This window comes from Homo sapiens, chromosome 11, assembly GCF_000001405.40.
Source record: "Homo sapiens chromosome 11, GRCh38.p14 Primary Assembly".
Lineage (NCBI taxonomy): Eukaryota > Metazoa > Chordata > Mammalia > Primates > Hominidae > Homo > Homo sapiens.
The window spans coordinates 105,914,699-105,933,510 of NC_000011.10; the positions used below are offsets into that span (position 1 = coordinate 105,914,699).

General features: G+C 34.2%; 1 protein-coding gene across 24 annotated transcripts in view; it reads left to right on the forward strand.

Moving 5' to 3' along the window:
- The window catches only part of GRIA4 (glutamate ionotropic receptor AMPA type subunit 4), a 372,097-nt gene that overhangs the window by 304,705 nt on the left and 48,580 nt on the right, over positions 1-18,812 (forward strand). For 18 of the 24 annotated variants that reach the window (NR_046356.2, NM_001440383.1, NM_001440386.1 and 15 more), the window contains 3 exons: positions 4,014-4,220; positions 9,701-10,071; positions 12,043-12,241. The exons of 1 other annotated variant lie outside the window; for it this stretch is intronic. Coding sequence is in view for 22 of the 23 variants with exons in the window: in NM_001440383.1 (NP_001427312.1) it covers positions 4,014-4,220; positions 9,701-10,071; positions 12,043-12,241 (777 nt within the window). In the remaining variant the exon portion in view is untranslated. The remainder of the gene's footprint in view (positions 1-4,013; positions 4,221-9,700; positions 10,072-12,042; positions 12,242-18,812) is intronic. 5 more of the 24 variants (NM_001440388.1, NM_001440390.1, NM_001440389.1 and 2 more) reach the window with 3 other exon arrangements.

The window sequence follows — 18,812 nt, forward strand, 5'->3', positions numbered from 1 at the left end:
TTTAAATAACTTTTAAGAAATTACTGTCCTGCAAAGCACAGTAGTTGATAATAATCATGGCAGGTTGTATACATAAGACAGAAAAAAGAGGTTACTCTATCCTTCTGATCATTCCATTTTTATTCAAAATTGAACACTTGGGAATTCATAAGGCTGTTTTACAAAGATACCCCACAAATCCTCCTTAATGATTTTCTGGAATTTATTATATTGAAAAGATTTTGTATTTTCTTCCCCCATAGTAGCCCCCTACCTTTGTATTAACTCTAATATGAAGTGTTTGAAGAGCTACTTGCAGACAACTTGCCAGATTGAGCATGGGGGAAATGAGGAGGTTGGGCGAATGTTGAGTATTTGCTACTCTTTTGGACTTGACATGAAAGGAAAGCAAAGCAAAATGAAACACAGTCAAAGAAACAGCAGAGCTGAGCAACCATGGGAGACATCGTTCAAGGAAAGCCTAGCCGTTCTCTCCTTTAAACCTCCCCACCTCCCTGGGTGCGATCATGTCATTTCTCTTATGCTGTCTGCATCACTCATCTTGAATCTCAGTAATTGTTTATGCCCCTGGATAGGCAAAAAGTCTAACTGCATTTCTAATCAACATCTGCAGTAAGCTGAAGCCTTTTCTAGTCTTTGTTGGTTTGCTCAGCAGGAAAACAATGACCTGATGGACCCCTGCTGTCCAAAATAAAAAAGAAAGAAAAAACTGAAAAAATGAAAGACATTAGATAAATATTTTCTCAAATAGACATGGGCCTGCTTCAGAAGAGATAACCTAGCGCTTGTTAATATTTACTTTCCTTTAGAAAACCTGAATCAGAATTTCTAATAAAATTACTTTATAAAGATACTATTTAGGAAACACTGATAGGCCAGGATATCTTTGTATTTATTTAGTGCCTTCTATATGCCAGACACTATGAGAATACATTGAAAGGTTTTTATCTACACTGTTTACATAGAAGATCATATGAAGAATTTCATTAAATGAATTTCATAAAAATGCAGAAATGCATTTCTTTAATCTTGTTCCCTAAGTCATATGAAATCTCAATTAATGATATATATTTTGATAAATGCAATAAGCGCTTCAAAATTTTCCAGATATTTCATTAAGTCATATGGAATCTCAATTAATTGCACATATTCTGATAAATGAAATAGCTTCAAAAATTTCCAGATATTTCAAAATGTAGGGTCGGCCAAACTCAGCGGCTCACACCTGTAATTGCAGCACTTTTGGAGGCCGAAGCAAGTGGACCACTTGAGGCCAGGAGTTTGAGACCACCCTGGCCAACATGGTGAAATCCCATCACTACTAAAAATACAAGAATTAACCGGGAGTGGTGGTGTGCGCCTGTAATCCCAGCTACTTGGGAGGCTGAGGCAGGAGAATCGCTTGAACCCGGAAGGCAGAGGTTGCAGTGAGCCGAGATCGCACTACTACACTCCAGCCTGGGTGATAGAGCACAGCTAGACTGTCTCTCAAAAACAAAAACAAAACAAAATATCAAAATACAGGGTCAGTTCCCACCTCTTTCACTTGTTAGTTCTGTGAAATTGAACAACTGGCTTAACCTCCCTGAGTCTTCACTGTCCCATCTGCAAAATGGGAAATGCCTACCTCAATGTGCCAGTGTCAAAAGTAAATGAAAAGACATGAAGAACTTTACATTGTGCCCGATACATAGTAAGCACTAAATAAGTAAGAGCTACCATTGTTTTTCACTGCTATATTTTATTATTGTTCCCCACATCTTATACTCCTTTGCCATTATTACAAAAAAATTATAGTGACTTTGATTGCAAGAGATCAAGGGGCACACTTGACTTATTTTTGTGTCCCTATCACCCAGCAAACTGACTGGCACACAGTAGCTGCTTAATAAATGTTTGATTAAATAACAAATATGTAGTTTTTATTGAAGTAAATTGTTCATTATGTAATGTAGAGGGCATTTAGCAAATTAGATTATAAATACTAGCTAGAGAAACTTGCACACACAAACTAATACAGTAATATATGTACTTGAGTACAAAAATTCATGTGTTCAGATATTGCAGACACTTGTGAATTGACCTTCAACTGTAGTACCAAATGGAGCCTTTGCTATACCCCTTTTGAAAAACTCTCAAACTTGTTACACTTACAGATAGTAGTTGTACAGCCATTTCAATCTGAATTTAAGCATTTTGCATATATGTGGCTCTTGCTTTTTTCTAAGGACGCTTCCATATTTTAAAAAGGTTATTTTAAAAAAAAGAGAAAATATAAGAATTAGCTCCTAATAACTATTAATATTTTATAGCATATTTTAGAAAATAATAATGCTTTGCAACAATTCACCAATTTTATAACCACAATTCACCAATTTTATAACCACATTTGCTAAACTCTTTATATTTTCACAATGTTTTCCATAAACTACTGCATAATTTTCATCTATCTAAAGAAGAGGCAATTGGATGCCTTACTTTTATGTGTGGAAGAACTTTTTACCTGATTCCAGGGTTAGAATATTCATCAAATTAAAAAAAGTGGGAGGTTTCTGGGTCATTTAGCCATGCCAACCTAAGGCAGGATTTAAGAACACAGTAGAAGGACCAATCCTGGATAACTGCCCACTGTAGAATTATTTAGGGCATCTCTATGAGAAAATAAAATGTCCTATAATTCACATGTTTTATTAAATTTTTAAAAGGGGTTCTACATTTATGAAGTACTTAAAAACAAAATCAGAATTAGTGTAGGTTGCCATGTTATTCATGCAAAGTAAATTACCTTCTATTATACAGTTTTAAGAGCAAATTCAACTTCCCCAATTATGAACTTTCTGGGGAAAAAGAAAAGACTTTTATGACAGATTACCAAATAAATGTTACAGTACAATTTTATAAAATATGAATACATTATCTCAATAATGTTGTAGCCAAAGGTGGTCACTCCTTGTCTGCAAATGACTGGAAAAACTCAGATGTGACCAGGGACTCTCTCCATATTATGTGTTCACCAGGTTTATCTTTGGTTGGTGGCTTTAGGTGCCACTTACAAAATCAAGTGCTTTTTGCTAAAATGTCTCTTTAGTGCATGTCTTTTAATGGTTTGGTTTAAGGGTGTGTGTGTGTGTGTGTGTGTGTGTGTGTGTGTGTGTGTAACTGAAAACCGTCCAGTAATTATTAGCCACTGATAAACTTTTTCATTTTATCAGGATTTTCACCATAATTATTCATCAAATTTTCTGTCTCACTTGCTTAGAAAACTAAATGGGAGTATCACCTCAAGTGTATGCTCATTACAACTGGAGGAAAATTATCAGCATCACTAGGGAAATGTTTTATAATATAATTAAATTTCATGGAGCACAAACCATGCTTAAAGCCAAAATACTGGACAACATTAGGAAAGCAGATTTAATGCAAATAACTATTTAAGAATTTTTTAACTATTGATTCATTTTTTCTTTGAATGATAGTGTACCAAGTGCCTGCTCTGAGACAAGCATCTTGCCAAACACTAGAGATCAAAGAAAAATGACGTAACCTTTTTCTTAAAGGAAGTCACAGTTGAATGTGGCTAAATAAGATGCAGAATATGGAAACCTGTGACCTTGAATTAGTCTTTTATGAGGTGAAGCTGACTACTGAATAATCTTTAATTTCATGAAATATTTTAGAAATACTCATTTCATTGCCAAAGAATATAATTTATGCTTCTTTAGATAATTATTAACTGGCACTTCTCCCACCACAGTCATAGTGCTAGGTTTTTAATACTTTCTCAAATGGAAATTTAAAGATTTCAGTTTTAGTATCCAATGCAAAGCAATTTAATCTCTTCTAAGCATACTTATATATTCATCTGTTTTATTATTGACTTCTAGCTACACCAAATCAGTATGTGTACCAATACTAAATACAATCTTTTGTCAAATTCTGAAATTGGAAAGTTACATAAGGTTTTTCAAATGTTTTATAATTTCTCCTTTACAGTTCTACTTCTCTCATTATAGGAATCCCCATATGTTATGTACAAGAAAAATCATGAAATGTTTGAAGGAAATGACAAGTATGAAGGATACTGTGTAGATTTGGCATCTGAAATTGCAAAACATATTGGTATCAAGTATAAAATTGCCATTGTCCCTGATGGAAAATATGGAGCAAGGGATGCAGACACAAAAATCTGGAATGGGATGGTAGGAGAACTTGTTTATGGGGTAAGCAAATCAACTTATTGAAGAATTTACTTACATACACCTGAAACTTCTTTTCCCTTGGGCACATAACAATTTTTAAACGTCTATTATTGTTTAATTTGCAGCAACATTCCAAGAGGCACATACAGTGTTTAAATCTTTCTCTATTTTATTAATAATGCAATCCACAAACAATGAGAAAAACTGACACTTGGTAAGATCAAAATCAGAAAGAAGATAAAAATTCAGAATATACAATCCTAGTTTTTTTAATTGACTTCAGGATCTGGAGTGACTATTCTTTTAAGTTTGATGCTGCCATGTATAGAACTACAAAACAAATATAATAGTAATCTTGTATTTGATAACTGTAGGAACAGGTTTCCTTCAACAATATAAAGATGGTCATTATTTTAGATAGTTATTTGTACCTCCATTGTTTGTAATTACTCATAGATATCTTTTAAGTAATTGGTGAGGCAATCACTATATTACTTTATCCTCTATTAAATATTCATCAATAATGTCAGATTCTCACAATTCTGCTGAACACAGTAAATTTAAACTTTATGCAGTGCCATCATTTTTTATAATAGTATACATAGCAAAACACAAAAGCCAGAATTTATTCCAAAGTGGGCCTCACATGAAAGCATGTTATGCGCCTCCCTTGAGTGTACCTGATATTGAGTGTACACATTCATAGCTGAAGGCAAATACAACATAAATGTTCCTGCCTGAATCAGAGCAATATCAAGATCAATGTCTTCAGCTACCACTGTAAATGTCAAAATCAAACTGGCAATTATCACATGCTAGTGATAGCACAATATTTCAGAAGTCCAGAAACTAAATCTGTAGCTTGTAGGAAACTCTATTCATCGAGTAACCAATGAAGTAACACATACTCGAAATGTAATATGAAATTTCCTAAAAGCCAACTTATATTTCACCTTCAAAATGTAGTCTGATTAATCCTCACAAGACCCCTTGGAAATGGAGAATTACACAGACAGTCATCTTCTTCAGAAAACAATAAAGATAGAAAGATTTAGAACATAACTGAAGTCCTAGGAGGGACTCACTTTCCAAGCCAAAACTTCAATTCAGAAGGCAAAACTGCCTTCTGATAAAAAGGCAGACGATTCTGCATCTTGCCTTTTAGACCATGAAGCAATGAACATTCTTTGTACAGTACAGTAAAGCAGCTAAAACCTATGCAGAATGAGGAAATTGTTAGACATTATGAAGCAATTGGTTAGTTTTATATCCATAGGAAAGAATTGCTGACTGCTTAGGTGACCCTAAATGAGAAAAAAAAATGCAGTTTAAAAAATAGCAAAATGTATTTTACCACAGAGTTCATCGACTGTTTCATATTGAGCTTTAAATTCCAAAGGAAAAGGGTTTCTAAAGCATTTGTTCTTTGGTTAATATTTTAAACTTTTGATACAGTAAGCATAACTTAGATGTTAACAATATCGAAGTTGTTGGAACTACTGTAATTCATTTCCTTTAGAAAACACTCTTACATATTTCATCTCAAAAAATCATACTTGGATTACCAGTTAGTTATGAACAGCATAACTGACGTGAGTTACTTTCTGAGGCATTTGTCATACATCTCTTCTCTGGAGTCCCTACCCACTGGGCAGCCCAGACTCGCTCTTTTGCAAGTGTTCTGACCACATTTCATTCAGGGAAAATTGTTTAAATAATGAAAACAAAGGATATGAAGGGAGTAGCATAATTAGTGAAAAAGTTATGTCAGTCCTATACATGTCACAATAACAAAAAGTCCCAAAGTTATGCAGTTCTCAAAGAGACAAAAGATAACATAATGGTTATTAATATTATATTCATATTCATTCCTCAGCCAGTCTGCAAGTGGTTAAAGACTCCAATCTCTGATGCTTGAGTTGTCCACTCTTTTCCCAAAAGGAATCTTCTTCCAGGTCTCTTACACACTCCACAGTCTAGGTACTTTCCATTTTGGTGTCTGCAAAGTCTATATTGTTTCTCAACGTTTTTTTGTTTGTTTGTTTTCCTACTGCAAACACATACATGAGTGCCTGGTTCCCAGGGCCCTAGGTAAAACTAAATCCATTCTCTTCTATAGAACAAAGTCTATTATATCTAGGTGATTAACTCTGCAAAATTATTAAATTTGGATTCACTATATTTTTTTACTTTACTCCTTGCAAACTTTGTTGCTATAATTGTAATGAACAGATTGTCTGTGAGGCATTTACATGTTATCCAACACACCATGTGTGAGACCCAGAAGCCCAGAACCTCTCTCACACTCAGGTCCTTTTTGCTACCATGCCTGTGCACTAAAGCCAGCTCACCCTGATTTCCTGCAGTGTGCTGCTTCAGGGTCATTTCCTTGGCCTCTACCACACTTGGGTGTGTGTGTGTGTGTGTGTGTGTGTGTGTGTGTGTGTGTGTGTTTTAGTCCAAGGGAATAATTCTCAAAGCACATTCCATGGTCCACTAGCACCAGAATTACCTGTGGAGACATTTTACACACTCAATTTTGGGAATTACTGAGAGGTCATGAAACAATGCACATGCAACATCCCCGATGTTGGCAGAGGAAGCCCATGTGTAACCTATCTCTACTAGTCTCTTTCTAGACTCTCACCTATCTCTAACTTTTTGAAAGTGTCCCTCATTGGACATGGATGTCACCACCTTCATACAACGTTCACTTTCTATGGCACTTAGTTTTCTCTTCAGAAAACACCTGTATTTCTCTTCATGTGTCTTTTTAAGGCTTCTTCCCTCACTAGTGGGAACTTGTGTAAATTAAAAATTTCAGAAGATACCTCACAGAACAATGTAGTATGTGAAAGGAGGCATTTCAAGTAAGTGAAAAGATGTGTTATTTATTTATTCCTGTTGGTACAGGAGGATGACTACTTGGAGAATTAACAATTTTCTAACACTTCATCATGGAAGATACCAAAAAGTGATAGGAGAATTATAGATACTAGAATAAAATACATAATATTGATAGGAAAATGATTTTTCTAGAACATGAAACCAAAGGCTGAAAACACACACAAAAATAATTTTATATGGCTACAACAAAATTTAAAACCTATGTATTGCAAGAAAAGACCTTGAATTAAGTTATGGAAACAAAACAATTGATGATTAGGGAAAAAAATTGCAACATATATGGGAAATAAAAGTGAATATTTTAAATACATTTTAAAGTGCTCACAAATTAGGAAGTAAAAAAATGAATACTCAATATGGAAAAGTGGGGGCAGATTATTACAGTAATACATAAAAGAACAAGTAGCTATTCGTTTTATAATAACAAATTCAAATTAGTACAAGAATATCTAATTTCCTTCCAGAAAATTGGTGAAGACAAGTAAACAGAACTTTTCTGAGGTTTAAAGCTGAACATGCCTTTGCATAGTGCTGGGGATGGTAGAAATTTGCATAATCTTTCTGAAGAAAAGTTGGGCAAAGTACATTATAAGCATTAAAAAGATTATTACTGTTTAGACCAGCCATTCCATTTCTAGAAATTTATCTTAAATAATTAAAGCATGTGTTAGGATTTGTCCTCAAAGATGTTCATAGCTTCACTGTTTTAAATTTTGTAAAGCTGGAAACAATATGAATATCCCTCAAACTTAATAAATGATTGAGTACATTTTGACATTTTTCCAATAAAGCATTTGCAATCATTAAAACTTACTTTTAACTTGTATACTGAAATGGAAAAGTGTTCATTATATTATTTGAGAAGAGAAAAAGAATTGTAAGATATAATGTTCTACATTATTCCTTTTTAAAAGAAATTAAAAATACTCTTCATAGAACAAAGTCTCTCAGAGTATATAGAAAGAAAAAACAAGAGTAGGTGATGGGAAAAGATAACATTTCCTAATGGGCTGGGTCATACTAATAAAATAATTAAAATATACTGATTTTTCTACAGCTAGTTCACATATCACTTATGTAACAAAAACTATATACATAATGATAGCTATGGGGAAAATAATAACCTTCCAGCAATGGTCTGACTCTTGTATATATGGGCTTTTATGATTTGAACAAAGTTTATTCCCTCTTGAAGGCATATGTGGTCAATTCTCAGTCACCCAGGGAGACGTGACTAAAACGTGCCTTCCCCATTCTAACCCCCCAGTTGCCCTTGTAGCAAGCCCTTGGCCACTGTATAGAACCAGGAGCCTGAGGATAGGTAGGAGTCATTGCAAGAGTGGCAGCCTCTATGTAAGAATTTGTATGTCTGAGCATGTTTCTGACTCCATTTTAATATCAAGTATATTCCTTTTAAAATAAACAATCAAAACTCCCTTTTATTTGTAGATCATGCGACAGTTTAGTTTTCACACTACACTTGATTTCATTTGATTTTAGAGGTGGGGTGATTGACACTCTACACCTTATTTCACTTGATTTTAGAGGTGGTGGTGATTTAATAGAAGCAGCCCAGGCTCAAATCCCAGAGCTGCCATGATATGTGAATCTCCCTTCTCTGAATCTCAGTTTCATCATCTAGACAATGATAAACATATGATTCTTATGAGGAGTAAAAGAGAAGCTATTCAAAATATTTAGATCAGCATCAGATCAGCATCAGCCACAGAATCCCTCAATAAATGCTCACTATTACCTTATTAAGGCTTCTAATAAATAATCACAATAACGTTATGAGGTAAACAGGGAAAAAGTATCCTCATTTTATAGCTGTAGAAACAAGCTCAGAAAAATTGCTCAAAATGACAGAACTCTGAAAATGGAGGCTAGTGCCTTATGATTATAATACCTGAGAAATGAATCTACTGTTTTTCAAAATCTTTTTTTAAATGAAGATAAAGAAATCAAAATATGTGAATAGCAAGAAATAAATGCCAATTTCCAGATTTTTGTGTGTGTGCTGAATTGGAAAATATCGTCAAACAACGGATTTTCTTTTATCATACAAGCACAGGCTTTATGATCTGTTTACTCATAGCTGGAAAGGAATAAAAAAGAAAAGACTGTTTGAAATTTGCAATTCATAATATTAAGGGATGGCCAAGTAATGAATCAGTGGCAATGCTCCAAATGAAACAGAAAAGGCTGCAACATAGCAGCGTTCCTGGCCAGGAAATTCACAAATTCAGCCATATGGAAAGACTGTCAAGTCTCCTCTGCACTGTCCCAGATCCTTAAAGACTAATACAGTAATTTGAGTTCAAGTTATTTTTGCTTATCCACTCTTACTCTGTTTTCTATCCTTTTATCTAATTACTGGAACATATTAAAATGTTTTGTGCAATTTAAGTAATATCTTATGAAAAAATTATTATTCATGTTTGTGTCTATCACTAGGCTTATACATTGTTGGCACTCCAAAAATAAATGTAGAATAAACGCATGACTGGTTAGCTTTAAATGGATCATTCCAGTGCTAATTGCTTCATGAAATTCATTAACCTATGTGTCTCCATGTGTTTTTTCTCTTATAGAAAGCAGAGATTGCTATTGCCCCTCTGACAATCACTTTGGTACGAGAGGAGGTCATTGACTTTTCTAAGCCCTTCATGAGTTTGGGCATATCTATCATGATCAAAAAGCCTCAGAAATCCAAACCAGGAGTGTTTTCCTTCTTGGATCCTCTGGCCTATGAGATTTGGATGTGCATAGTCTTTGCCTACATTGGTGTCAGCGTGGTCTTATTCCTAGTTAGTAGATTTAGTCCATATGAGTGGCACACAGAAGAGCCAGAGGACGGAAAGGAAGGACCCAGCGACCAGCCTCCCAATGAGTTTGGCATCTTTAACAGCCTCTGGTTTTCCCTGGGTGCTTTTATGCAGCAAGGATGTGACATTTCACCCAGGTTAGTTTCAAATCTCTTAAGTTCTTCACTGATTTCCCAGTAATTCTAAATGTTGTGCAGATTATCTCTCTACATGTTCTTTTCCTGAAGACAGAGGACTATTTGAAACACAGAAAAAGACTTGCAATTCCCAAATAGCAATTTCTTCCAAGTTAGCACAAAATATGGATATATCATAAATATTAACTTTCTCAATAGCAAAGAAACTATGCAATCCATCAGAGCTCTCAAAAATCATTTAGTATTAATATTTCATTCATTGGTTTGACAAATGGAAACTGGAACCTAAATTATAGAACAGGAATTCATTTCCATTTTGTTTCCTTTTAAAAAACAAACACTTTTGCTATTATTGCAATTTTTTCCTACTATTGTTGTTGTTGCTCATTTTCAGAAATTAATGTTGGACTTAATTCTTATCTCACATAGCTTAAGGGAGATACCTGGAACCTGAGTCAAGATAGTAGGTACCAGATATACATTGTTTTATATAGCAATGCATAAATTAGCTAAGCAATAGGCAAAAAGCCAACCATGCAAACACTATGCTAGTTTTATGGAAATGTTTTTCAATATCTGTGGAGTCATGGCTCCCTTCCTTTGGATACCACTAAGATATCATTTAACCATTATATTCACCAAAAATGCAGGCTTCTTTTGCAAGAAAAAATGCCTTACTTTTCTCATAGAGAAAGTAGCTGAAGGTATGAGAAGAAAAGTATTTACTTTAATTGTTGACTATATATTAGCATCACAAATATATGGATTTCTTTCTTTATAGAAATGTATGCTTTCTCAAAAAAGAGGCATTTTGGGCACAATGCAATTTGTGTTTCTTAAGACCTAGGAAAATTATAAATATGTTTAAATTCCAATAACATAGGAATCTGACTTGAAAACTTTCAATTAATGAACTAAAAAGAAATCAAAGTAAGTCAAGCAATGGCTTTTAAAAGCCAGGATTAAGCAAATATTAAGTTAAACCCAATAGGTGTCTCTTTTATAATAGCAAGTATTATAATAAGGGAGTATTTTAACTTTGGAAATGCTATGAAAAATATGAAATCATTCTTCAAGTTTTAAAACAAATGTTTTACAACAATTTGCCCCAGGAATTTTAAGTAGTTTGATGGTTACAATAAGTGAGTTCAATGATGAACATTCTCTGGATTTTTTTACTCACCCCCTTCTCACATTTGCTCTGCACTCACACTCACCCACACATCCTTGATACCAGAGAAAGAGTGAAAAGAGAGAAAATCGTATATGAGTGTGTAAAGATAACTTTGAGACATGGTTCAACCTCCACTTAGCTCAGGAATGGACTATCAAGCAAACAAACAAAAAAAGCCTCAACTATGGTCACTTCGAGACCAATTCTAGACGCTCTTCGGGTCCAATCTCACCTTGGCCTACATCCCATCATCCTGGCAGGGCTCTGACTGAAGGTAAAACAAGTTATTTCCTTTAGTCTCAGAAAGGTATTTACAAACTTGCATCAAATCTAAGACTGCAGTCACTGTTCATAGGTATTGCTAATTTATGTACCACAAACAGAGAAACAATGCTGCCAATTAAACCATGATACTATATTTTATCTCATCAACCATAGGCTGCATCCTAATTTCAGAGATGCTAAGAAATGAGGGCAGGAGAGTATTAATGAATTCAACTAAGTATTCCCCTTGAGCAGCTGAAGAAAAGCTATTAAGTTTTACATTTCTGCCATTTTCTTTAAACAATAAAAAGGAAATGGTTGTCATATTTTCAGTGGCATTTATATATTAAATACACCATAGAAGACATCAGATTATACAGAAATTCAGAATCATTCTTGAGCAGACTCTCAGAAAATAAAACAATACTTGGCAATTGTTATTTTTAAATATGCATGGTGAATTGACGGTATTTCTTTTCTTTCTCTATGTTGGTTAAAGAAAGGAAAATGTGCATTATTTTATCCATGTTTAGATCCCTCTCAGGTCGAATTGTTGGAGGTGTTTGGTGGTTCTTTACACTCATCATTATATCATCTTATACTGCTAACCTCGCTGCTTTCCTGACGGTTGAGCGAATGGTCTCTCCCATAGAAAGTGCAGAAGACCTGGCCAAACAAACAGAAATTGCCTATGGAACACTGGATTCAGGATCAACAAAAGAATTCTTCAGAGTAAGTTAAGGGAAAAACTAAAAATGAAATGTTTATCATTTTGAAATTCAGGCAATTTTTCCAACAATTATACCATGGGCTTTAGCTATTATAAGGTTTACAAACACAATAGTAATAGCTATGTTTAAGGCTAGTACTTCTAACTGGATTTTATAATCACTTTAATTTGCAAAAGGTAATTGACTTATTCATATTGCAAGAGGAACACTCTCTAAGGCATAGTAACAATGAAAAGGTAATTAAAACAACTTTATAACATAATTTATCCAAAACATTCCAATGTTGATAATGCTATGATAATATTGGATCTGGTAAGATTGGATTTATGTCTGCTTTTGGGCTGAGAGCGTAAAAATGAAAACTTGACGTTTGAAGAATACATTCAACTTGCTGCGTTTGAAACACAAAACCTTAATTGCAGATTATACTACTTATATGAGTTATATTATTCTATAACCTATTCTGTAACAATGAACTTCACAGCAACATATTTGCTTTCTCACAAGGTAATAACAGCAAGAACTTTTCCATTCTAGGCCCCTCTCTAGGACATTGTATGGCATTTAGTTTGTGCTGATTTCTCTGCTTTGCAGATAAAAATTTTCCAACTGATATAATTGTATTACATATATGGATACATGTATAATTGCATTATATATATGGATGTAATTGCATTGTATGTCCCTTTGACCTTCCATCGGAACAATAGAGGTTTTTATTTTAGTTTTTTTTAGTGTTTGTTCCATTATGGGGATGAATTTTTTTTATCAAAAAACCCTTTTTCTAGTCTTTTTAAATCCAGAGCTATACATTTGGTAATGTCTGATAACAGATAGGCATTCATTTTGTGACTTCAAAACCCAAAAATTAAAAAGTTCGCCAGAGTGACATTTTTATGAATATCGAACTAGGTAAAAACGAACACATTTTATATTTATGTCAATTGTTTAAACACTAGAATATTTAATAGCATAGAAGACAGAACATATATTTTATTACTTTCTAAGCTTTCATGGGAAAGTAGTAATAGCTCTTTGTTCGTGCCTACATACAGCACTTGAGAGATTACATTTCCATTTTAAATGTATTTATTTATAATCTTCTCACTCAATTCAGCTTAACAATTATAAACAACAAAATGTGCTACTCCTTAGGCCAGCTTTAACTTTTGTATACTTGAATTTCTGTAAGATATTTATCCTTTTTAAAGAAAATTTGATTATAGTATCCTAATATACTTTAGATGTTTACATAATATCATATCAAGAGCAAATCACTCAAAAACTCAAATTCATCCCTGGGCATTGTTTAGAAAAGAAACCAGACAATGAACAATGTACTTGTCAACAATTTGGAGTATTATTAGGTATAATCTAAGATGTATAAGTTAATTACAAAACACTTAATAGATTTTCTTAAAACTGTAAGTAATATTCATGACAGTAGATTTGATTAACAATAGTCTATGGATAAACTTGATTAAACAAACTTTTTTTAACTTACCTAGCACATCCCTATTTCTACAGCTTAATAATAGAAACATTACTACTCTAATGTATTTCAGCATAATTTCAGTACCGTGCTGCCGGTTTATAACTGCTCCCATCCATATAAGTAAGCACGTAAAATTTAACGATTTCGCCTAAAAATTACTATGTATATGCACCAAAATAAAATACAAGTTTGTGCTATCATTTGCACTTTACTGAAAATTGATGACTGATTGTCATTTAAATAAAGACATTATTTGCAGGCTCATCATTCTGCCTTGAGTGATAAAGGGAAGAAGAAATGCTATATTGATTCTGTGAAAATATTTCAAAAGTAACTCACTGTAAAGCTCTTTAGCATTAAGCACACTGAAAATGTGTATATCTAATCTTTATAAAGTTACAAATGCTTAAATTCAAAGAACTGGTGAGGTAGATAAGAGAATATATTAAGAGAAATATAAGAATGGGGAAACCTGCTTCCTAGATTTATAGTCTTCCATACAAACTGTGCAAGCACCATTCCTTGTTTCCTTTCTCTCCAACCCAACTTCAGTTTTTAAATTGGAAGATTTTTATAATATAGGTATCTATTGTTGCAGAACATTCTGAACTCTAATGGGACAAGAAAATAATTTCCCCTGGCAACACGCTTTCAGGAATGCATAAATTTGGGTTCTTTGATAAAAATCTCATTCATTTCCTACCCTGTTTGCTTCCCTCCTCTCCCATACATGTTGACCTGGTTTAAATAAACCATTTGTCTGATGGGCTGAGGAAACCAGAATGTGAAGGGTATTTTTGTACCTGTCAAAATCATTTTCTCATAGGAACACAATAATGGTACATCTATCAGCTCCACTAGGCTGCCTCAGGCAATGACCTATACTCAGTGCTTCAAAAAAATGCCACAGTTATAATCAACTGAAAAAAGAATTAAGCCACAGGGGAAAACTACATCTGAATTCAACTATTGCCTTGGTTTTGCCCCATTATGAAACTTTATATACTTCATGTTTTATGTGCCATGGTGAGCCTAAATATAGAGGCATTTAAAGAGTCTGTACTTGTCACTTAATGCCAGCCTCGCTGTTTTGGTACTTTCACATTATCACACACCTGACTTAAACACAGTGATCTTCATTTCAATGCAGTTTTATCCTGTGCCTGTCTCAGTCATCAGTGAAACTGTGAATGCATAAATGATGTGCATTACTATCTCAGGGTTTATGATATTACCAAATAATGCATTGATGAGCTGTCACTAGAACATCAGTCTTGCCAAGTAAGCTACTAGAAGGGGAAAATAATTCACCGGATAGCAATGTAAACATTAACTATAACACATGACATTTGTACACAGTTTCTATTAGAAGCAGAAATGGTGGAATACTTAATTTAGGGAAAAGTAAAAGGATAGCACATTCTTTTAATTCCAAGAATTGTTTTAAGCAATAAAACAGTGTTTTAGATCAGATAGTTCCCCATGCTTTGAGTTTCACAATAAAGATGAAATAAATCGATCTGAGATTAATTTTCTAATTTCAAACAATAATGACTTCTATCTTTTCACTTCCCACACCACAGTTTTTAAACAGACACTACAGTTGAAGGTTTTAGGGACTTAAATGTTCCTTTATCACTGTACTTGATACAGTGACATTTGATACAGAGACCTACTGGGCTTGCTGGATCTGCAGAAATTTTCTTCATTTTAGCCTGTCTCATCAAATTTATGAATATTTGCTTGTCCTCACTCCTTAGCAATCACTCTCTTGCAGTCACAGATAAGGCACAGGGCTATTACTTCCAGTCCTACGCCCCTTGATTCCCCTTCATCCCATTGTCCTGTGTATATGATCTTATCAGAATCAGATTTTCTAAAGATTAGCATGGTGACAAACCAGGCTAATTTCTTTTTTCAAAAACTTGCTTTTATCTTTCCATTTTATCTGTATTTTTTCATTTCTAGTGTACTAAACCCTCTTATATTTAGCATAGCTACTCTGTGGATTCCTCTTTCTTCCAGATTTTAGAGGGATTAGTTCAACTTATTTTGCATTTAAGGTATACATAATTCAATGTATTTAAACAAATGCAGCAGTAATTTTCCACATACTAATATATAGAAATGGACTATTAAAAAGTAAAAGATACTTTATTCTTTTTAAAAAGATTTATTTGCTTTAATACTATGCTGCATTCTATAGTTAAGTGATCTCTATAAATACCAAACCCTAAAAACACACTTTTTCCATTTTGCTGTGTTAGTTTTGTTTAACTGTCCTATTCCTTTAATAAACCACTTATTTGTAACTGGAAAGTTGCCAAGTAATTAGCATGGTTTTCATATTCTTAATAAATTCCATAAAATAGCTCAATTAAAACAATATTCACACTGATTTTATTTCTTCTGTTTTCTATGTCGTGTACATAGTAAAGTATACAATGTATGTGGAGCTCTATACCTTTTTGGGTGAAACTCTCAAGTCAAGATTTAAATATATTTAAAAAGTAGTTATATGTTTAAAGGAAGTTTACCAGTACTTCTGTAAAAATTAAAATTATCAATATAGATATTGAGGGACAACCTGTATCAAGTGAATCAGAGAGGCAATATTTTTCAGAACTTGTAAAATGAAAGAGTTTGTTCTCTGGAACAGAACTCTATTTTTAGAGATGGAATGAATGAAGCATGGCAACATGGCATTCCTAGTGGATTCTGTACTTGAGGATTTGGAATCCAAGTACTCATCAGTCCTGGAAGGATATAGAATCACTGAAATTTTCTAATATGAGGATTCTGTTGCCAGAAGTATCCTGTCATTGCCTAAATACACACACACACACACACACACACACACACACACACACCAATCTTCATATCATGAGATATTTTTTCAAGTGTTAATAGCATAAAAACATTATAAAAAATACTAAAAGATGTCAATTTCCCACCTTGATATTTATCAACATTTGAATATAAGTTACTGGCCAGGTGTGGTGGCTCACGCCTGAAATCCTAACACTTTGGGAGGCCGAGGCGGTGGATTACCTGAGCTCAGGAGTTCGAGACCAGCCTGGCCAACATGATGAAACCCCGTCTCTACTAAAAAAATACAAAAATTAGCTGGGTGTGGTGGCGGGTTTCTGTAATCACAGGTACTCAGGAGGCTAAGACAGGAGAATTGCTTGAACCTGGGAGGCAGAGGTTGTAGTGAGCCAAGAGCATGCCACTACATTTCAGCCTGGGTGACAGAGCAAGACTCCATCTGCCCCCTCAAAAAAAAAATGAATATAGTTACCATAAAATATCTTTTTCTTTGGTGTTCAAGTTTGCAAATCAGTGATTGTGTGGTTTATTAGTTAGGTTTCTTGATTACTTATTTCCGAACTTATGAAATCAAAAATTTGAATCCCACTTTTATTCATTTATTTCTTTGTCCACCTGAATAATTTGTCTTTGCCCAGGTATTCAAGTTATATGTTGATTAGTAAAGAACTGCCTCTTGTTGAATTCTATATTTTGGTAAACAAAGGAAGCTCAATGTAAATAAATGTACACACTACTCAGCACTGAGCCTCACACAAAGACGTAAGTCTGAATGAGGTCTTCACTTTTTTTTTTTTTGGATTCAGATACAAAATTGCAGCCCCTTGTTATTGAAAACAAATGCAGTTGCACCAGACAAGATTCAGGCTTTTCTTTTCTTTTTTTCTTTTTTTTTAGATGGAGTCTCACTTTGTCACCCAGGCTGGAGTGCAGTGGTATGATCTTGGCTCACTGCAGCCTCTGCCTCCCAGGTCTGAGCAATTCTCATGCCTCAGCCCCCTTAGTAGCTGGGACTACAGGCATGCGCTGCTATGCCCAGCTAATTTTTGTACTTTTAGTAGACACAGGGTTTCACCATGTTGGCCAGGCTGGTCTTGAACTCCTGATCTCACATATTGAACTTTATGATCAGGTGATCCACCTGCCTCAGACTCCCAAAATGTTGGGATTACAGTCTGAGCCACGGCACCTGGCCAGTGCTTTCCTATATTAATAAATATATCTTTTGGAGACATTTCAGTTCACTAAAAATGTGCGAATGAAAAATTTAATGCAAATGCAGATAACAAGAAAAAGGACCTGGGTAAATTAAGTAGTGAGAGTAATGTATTAATAGATAGAGCTCAAGTAGACAGAAGTAATTTACAAATATAAATAAGTTTCTTGGCTGGAGTCAAGGGGATTAGAATGACCAACTCCCTAGAACACAAAATTGGAAAATAGGAATCACTTCTCTTTAAAGTTCAATATATGTTCTATTTGAAAATTTTCTCAGAAAAAGTCTAAAAATGTTTCAATCAACCTAGAGTTTGATTCTTGTGTTAGGGATATTTGGTTTGTAAGCTATACCAGGTTTTGCCTCTTCCTTTGGTGTTCAATTACTGACTTGATATGGACTGTATTTTTGTATATATCTTACTAGAATCATGTACACTAAAATTTGGGGGCATGAAAAAAGATAAAAATAAAATAACAGCCAGACATGGTGGCTCACACCTGTAATCCCAGCACTTTGGGAGGCTGAGGCAGTAGGATTGCTTGAGGTCAAGAGTTTGAGACCAGCCTGAGCAACATAACAAGATCCCATCTTTAAAAAAATTTTTTTTTTAATTAGTTGGACATGGTGGCATGCACCTGTAGTCCAAGCTATGCAGGAGGCTGAGGCGGGAGGATCTCTTGAGCCCAGGAGTTGTGGGTTACAGTGAGCTATGATCATGTCACTGCACTCCAGTCTGGGCAACTCAGGAAGACCCTGTCTCCAAAAAACTCTAAAAAAAAATAAAATAAAACAACCCTCCTTGTTTGTTATAAATAAAATACAGTATTAAAAGGAATTTTACAAACTTGAAATAAAATCTTAGCTTTTTTTAAGTTTACCATGAATGTGATATAAAACATGATTTTAAATGTTCAAGTCTCTTCATGGCAGTCTACATAGAAAAAAACAGTAATAGATTACTATTTAAGCAGGTGAGTGTGGTAACTGTTATGGTAAGAGGTTTGGGCTTCTTCAGATATCACTTTTAAA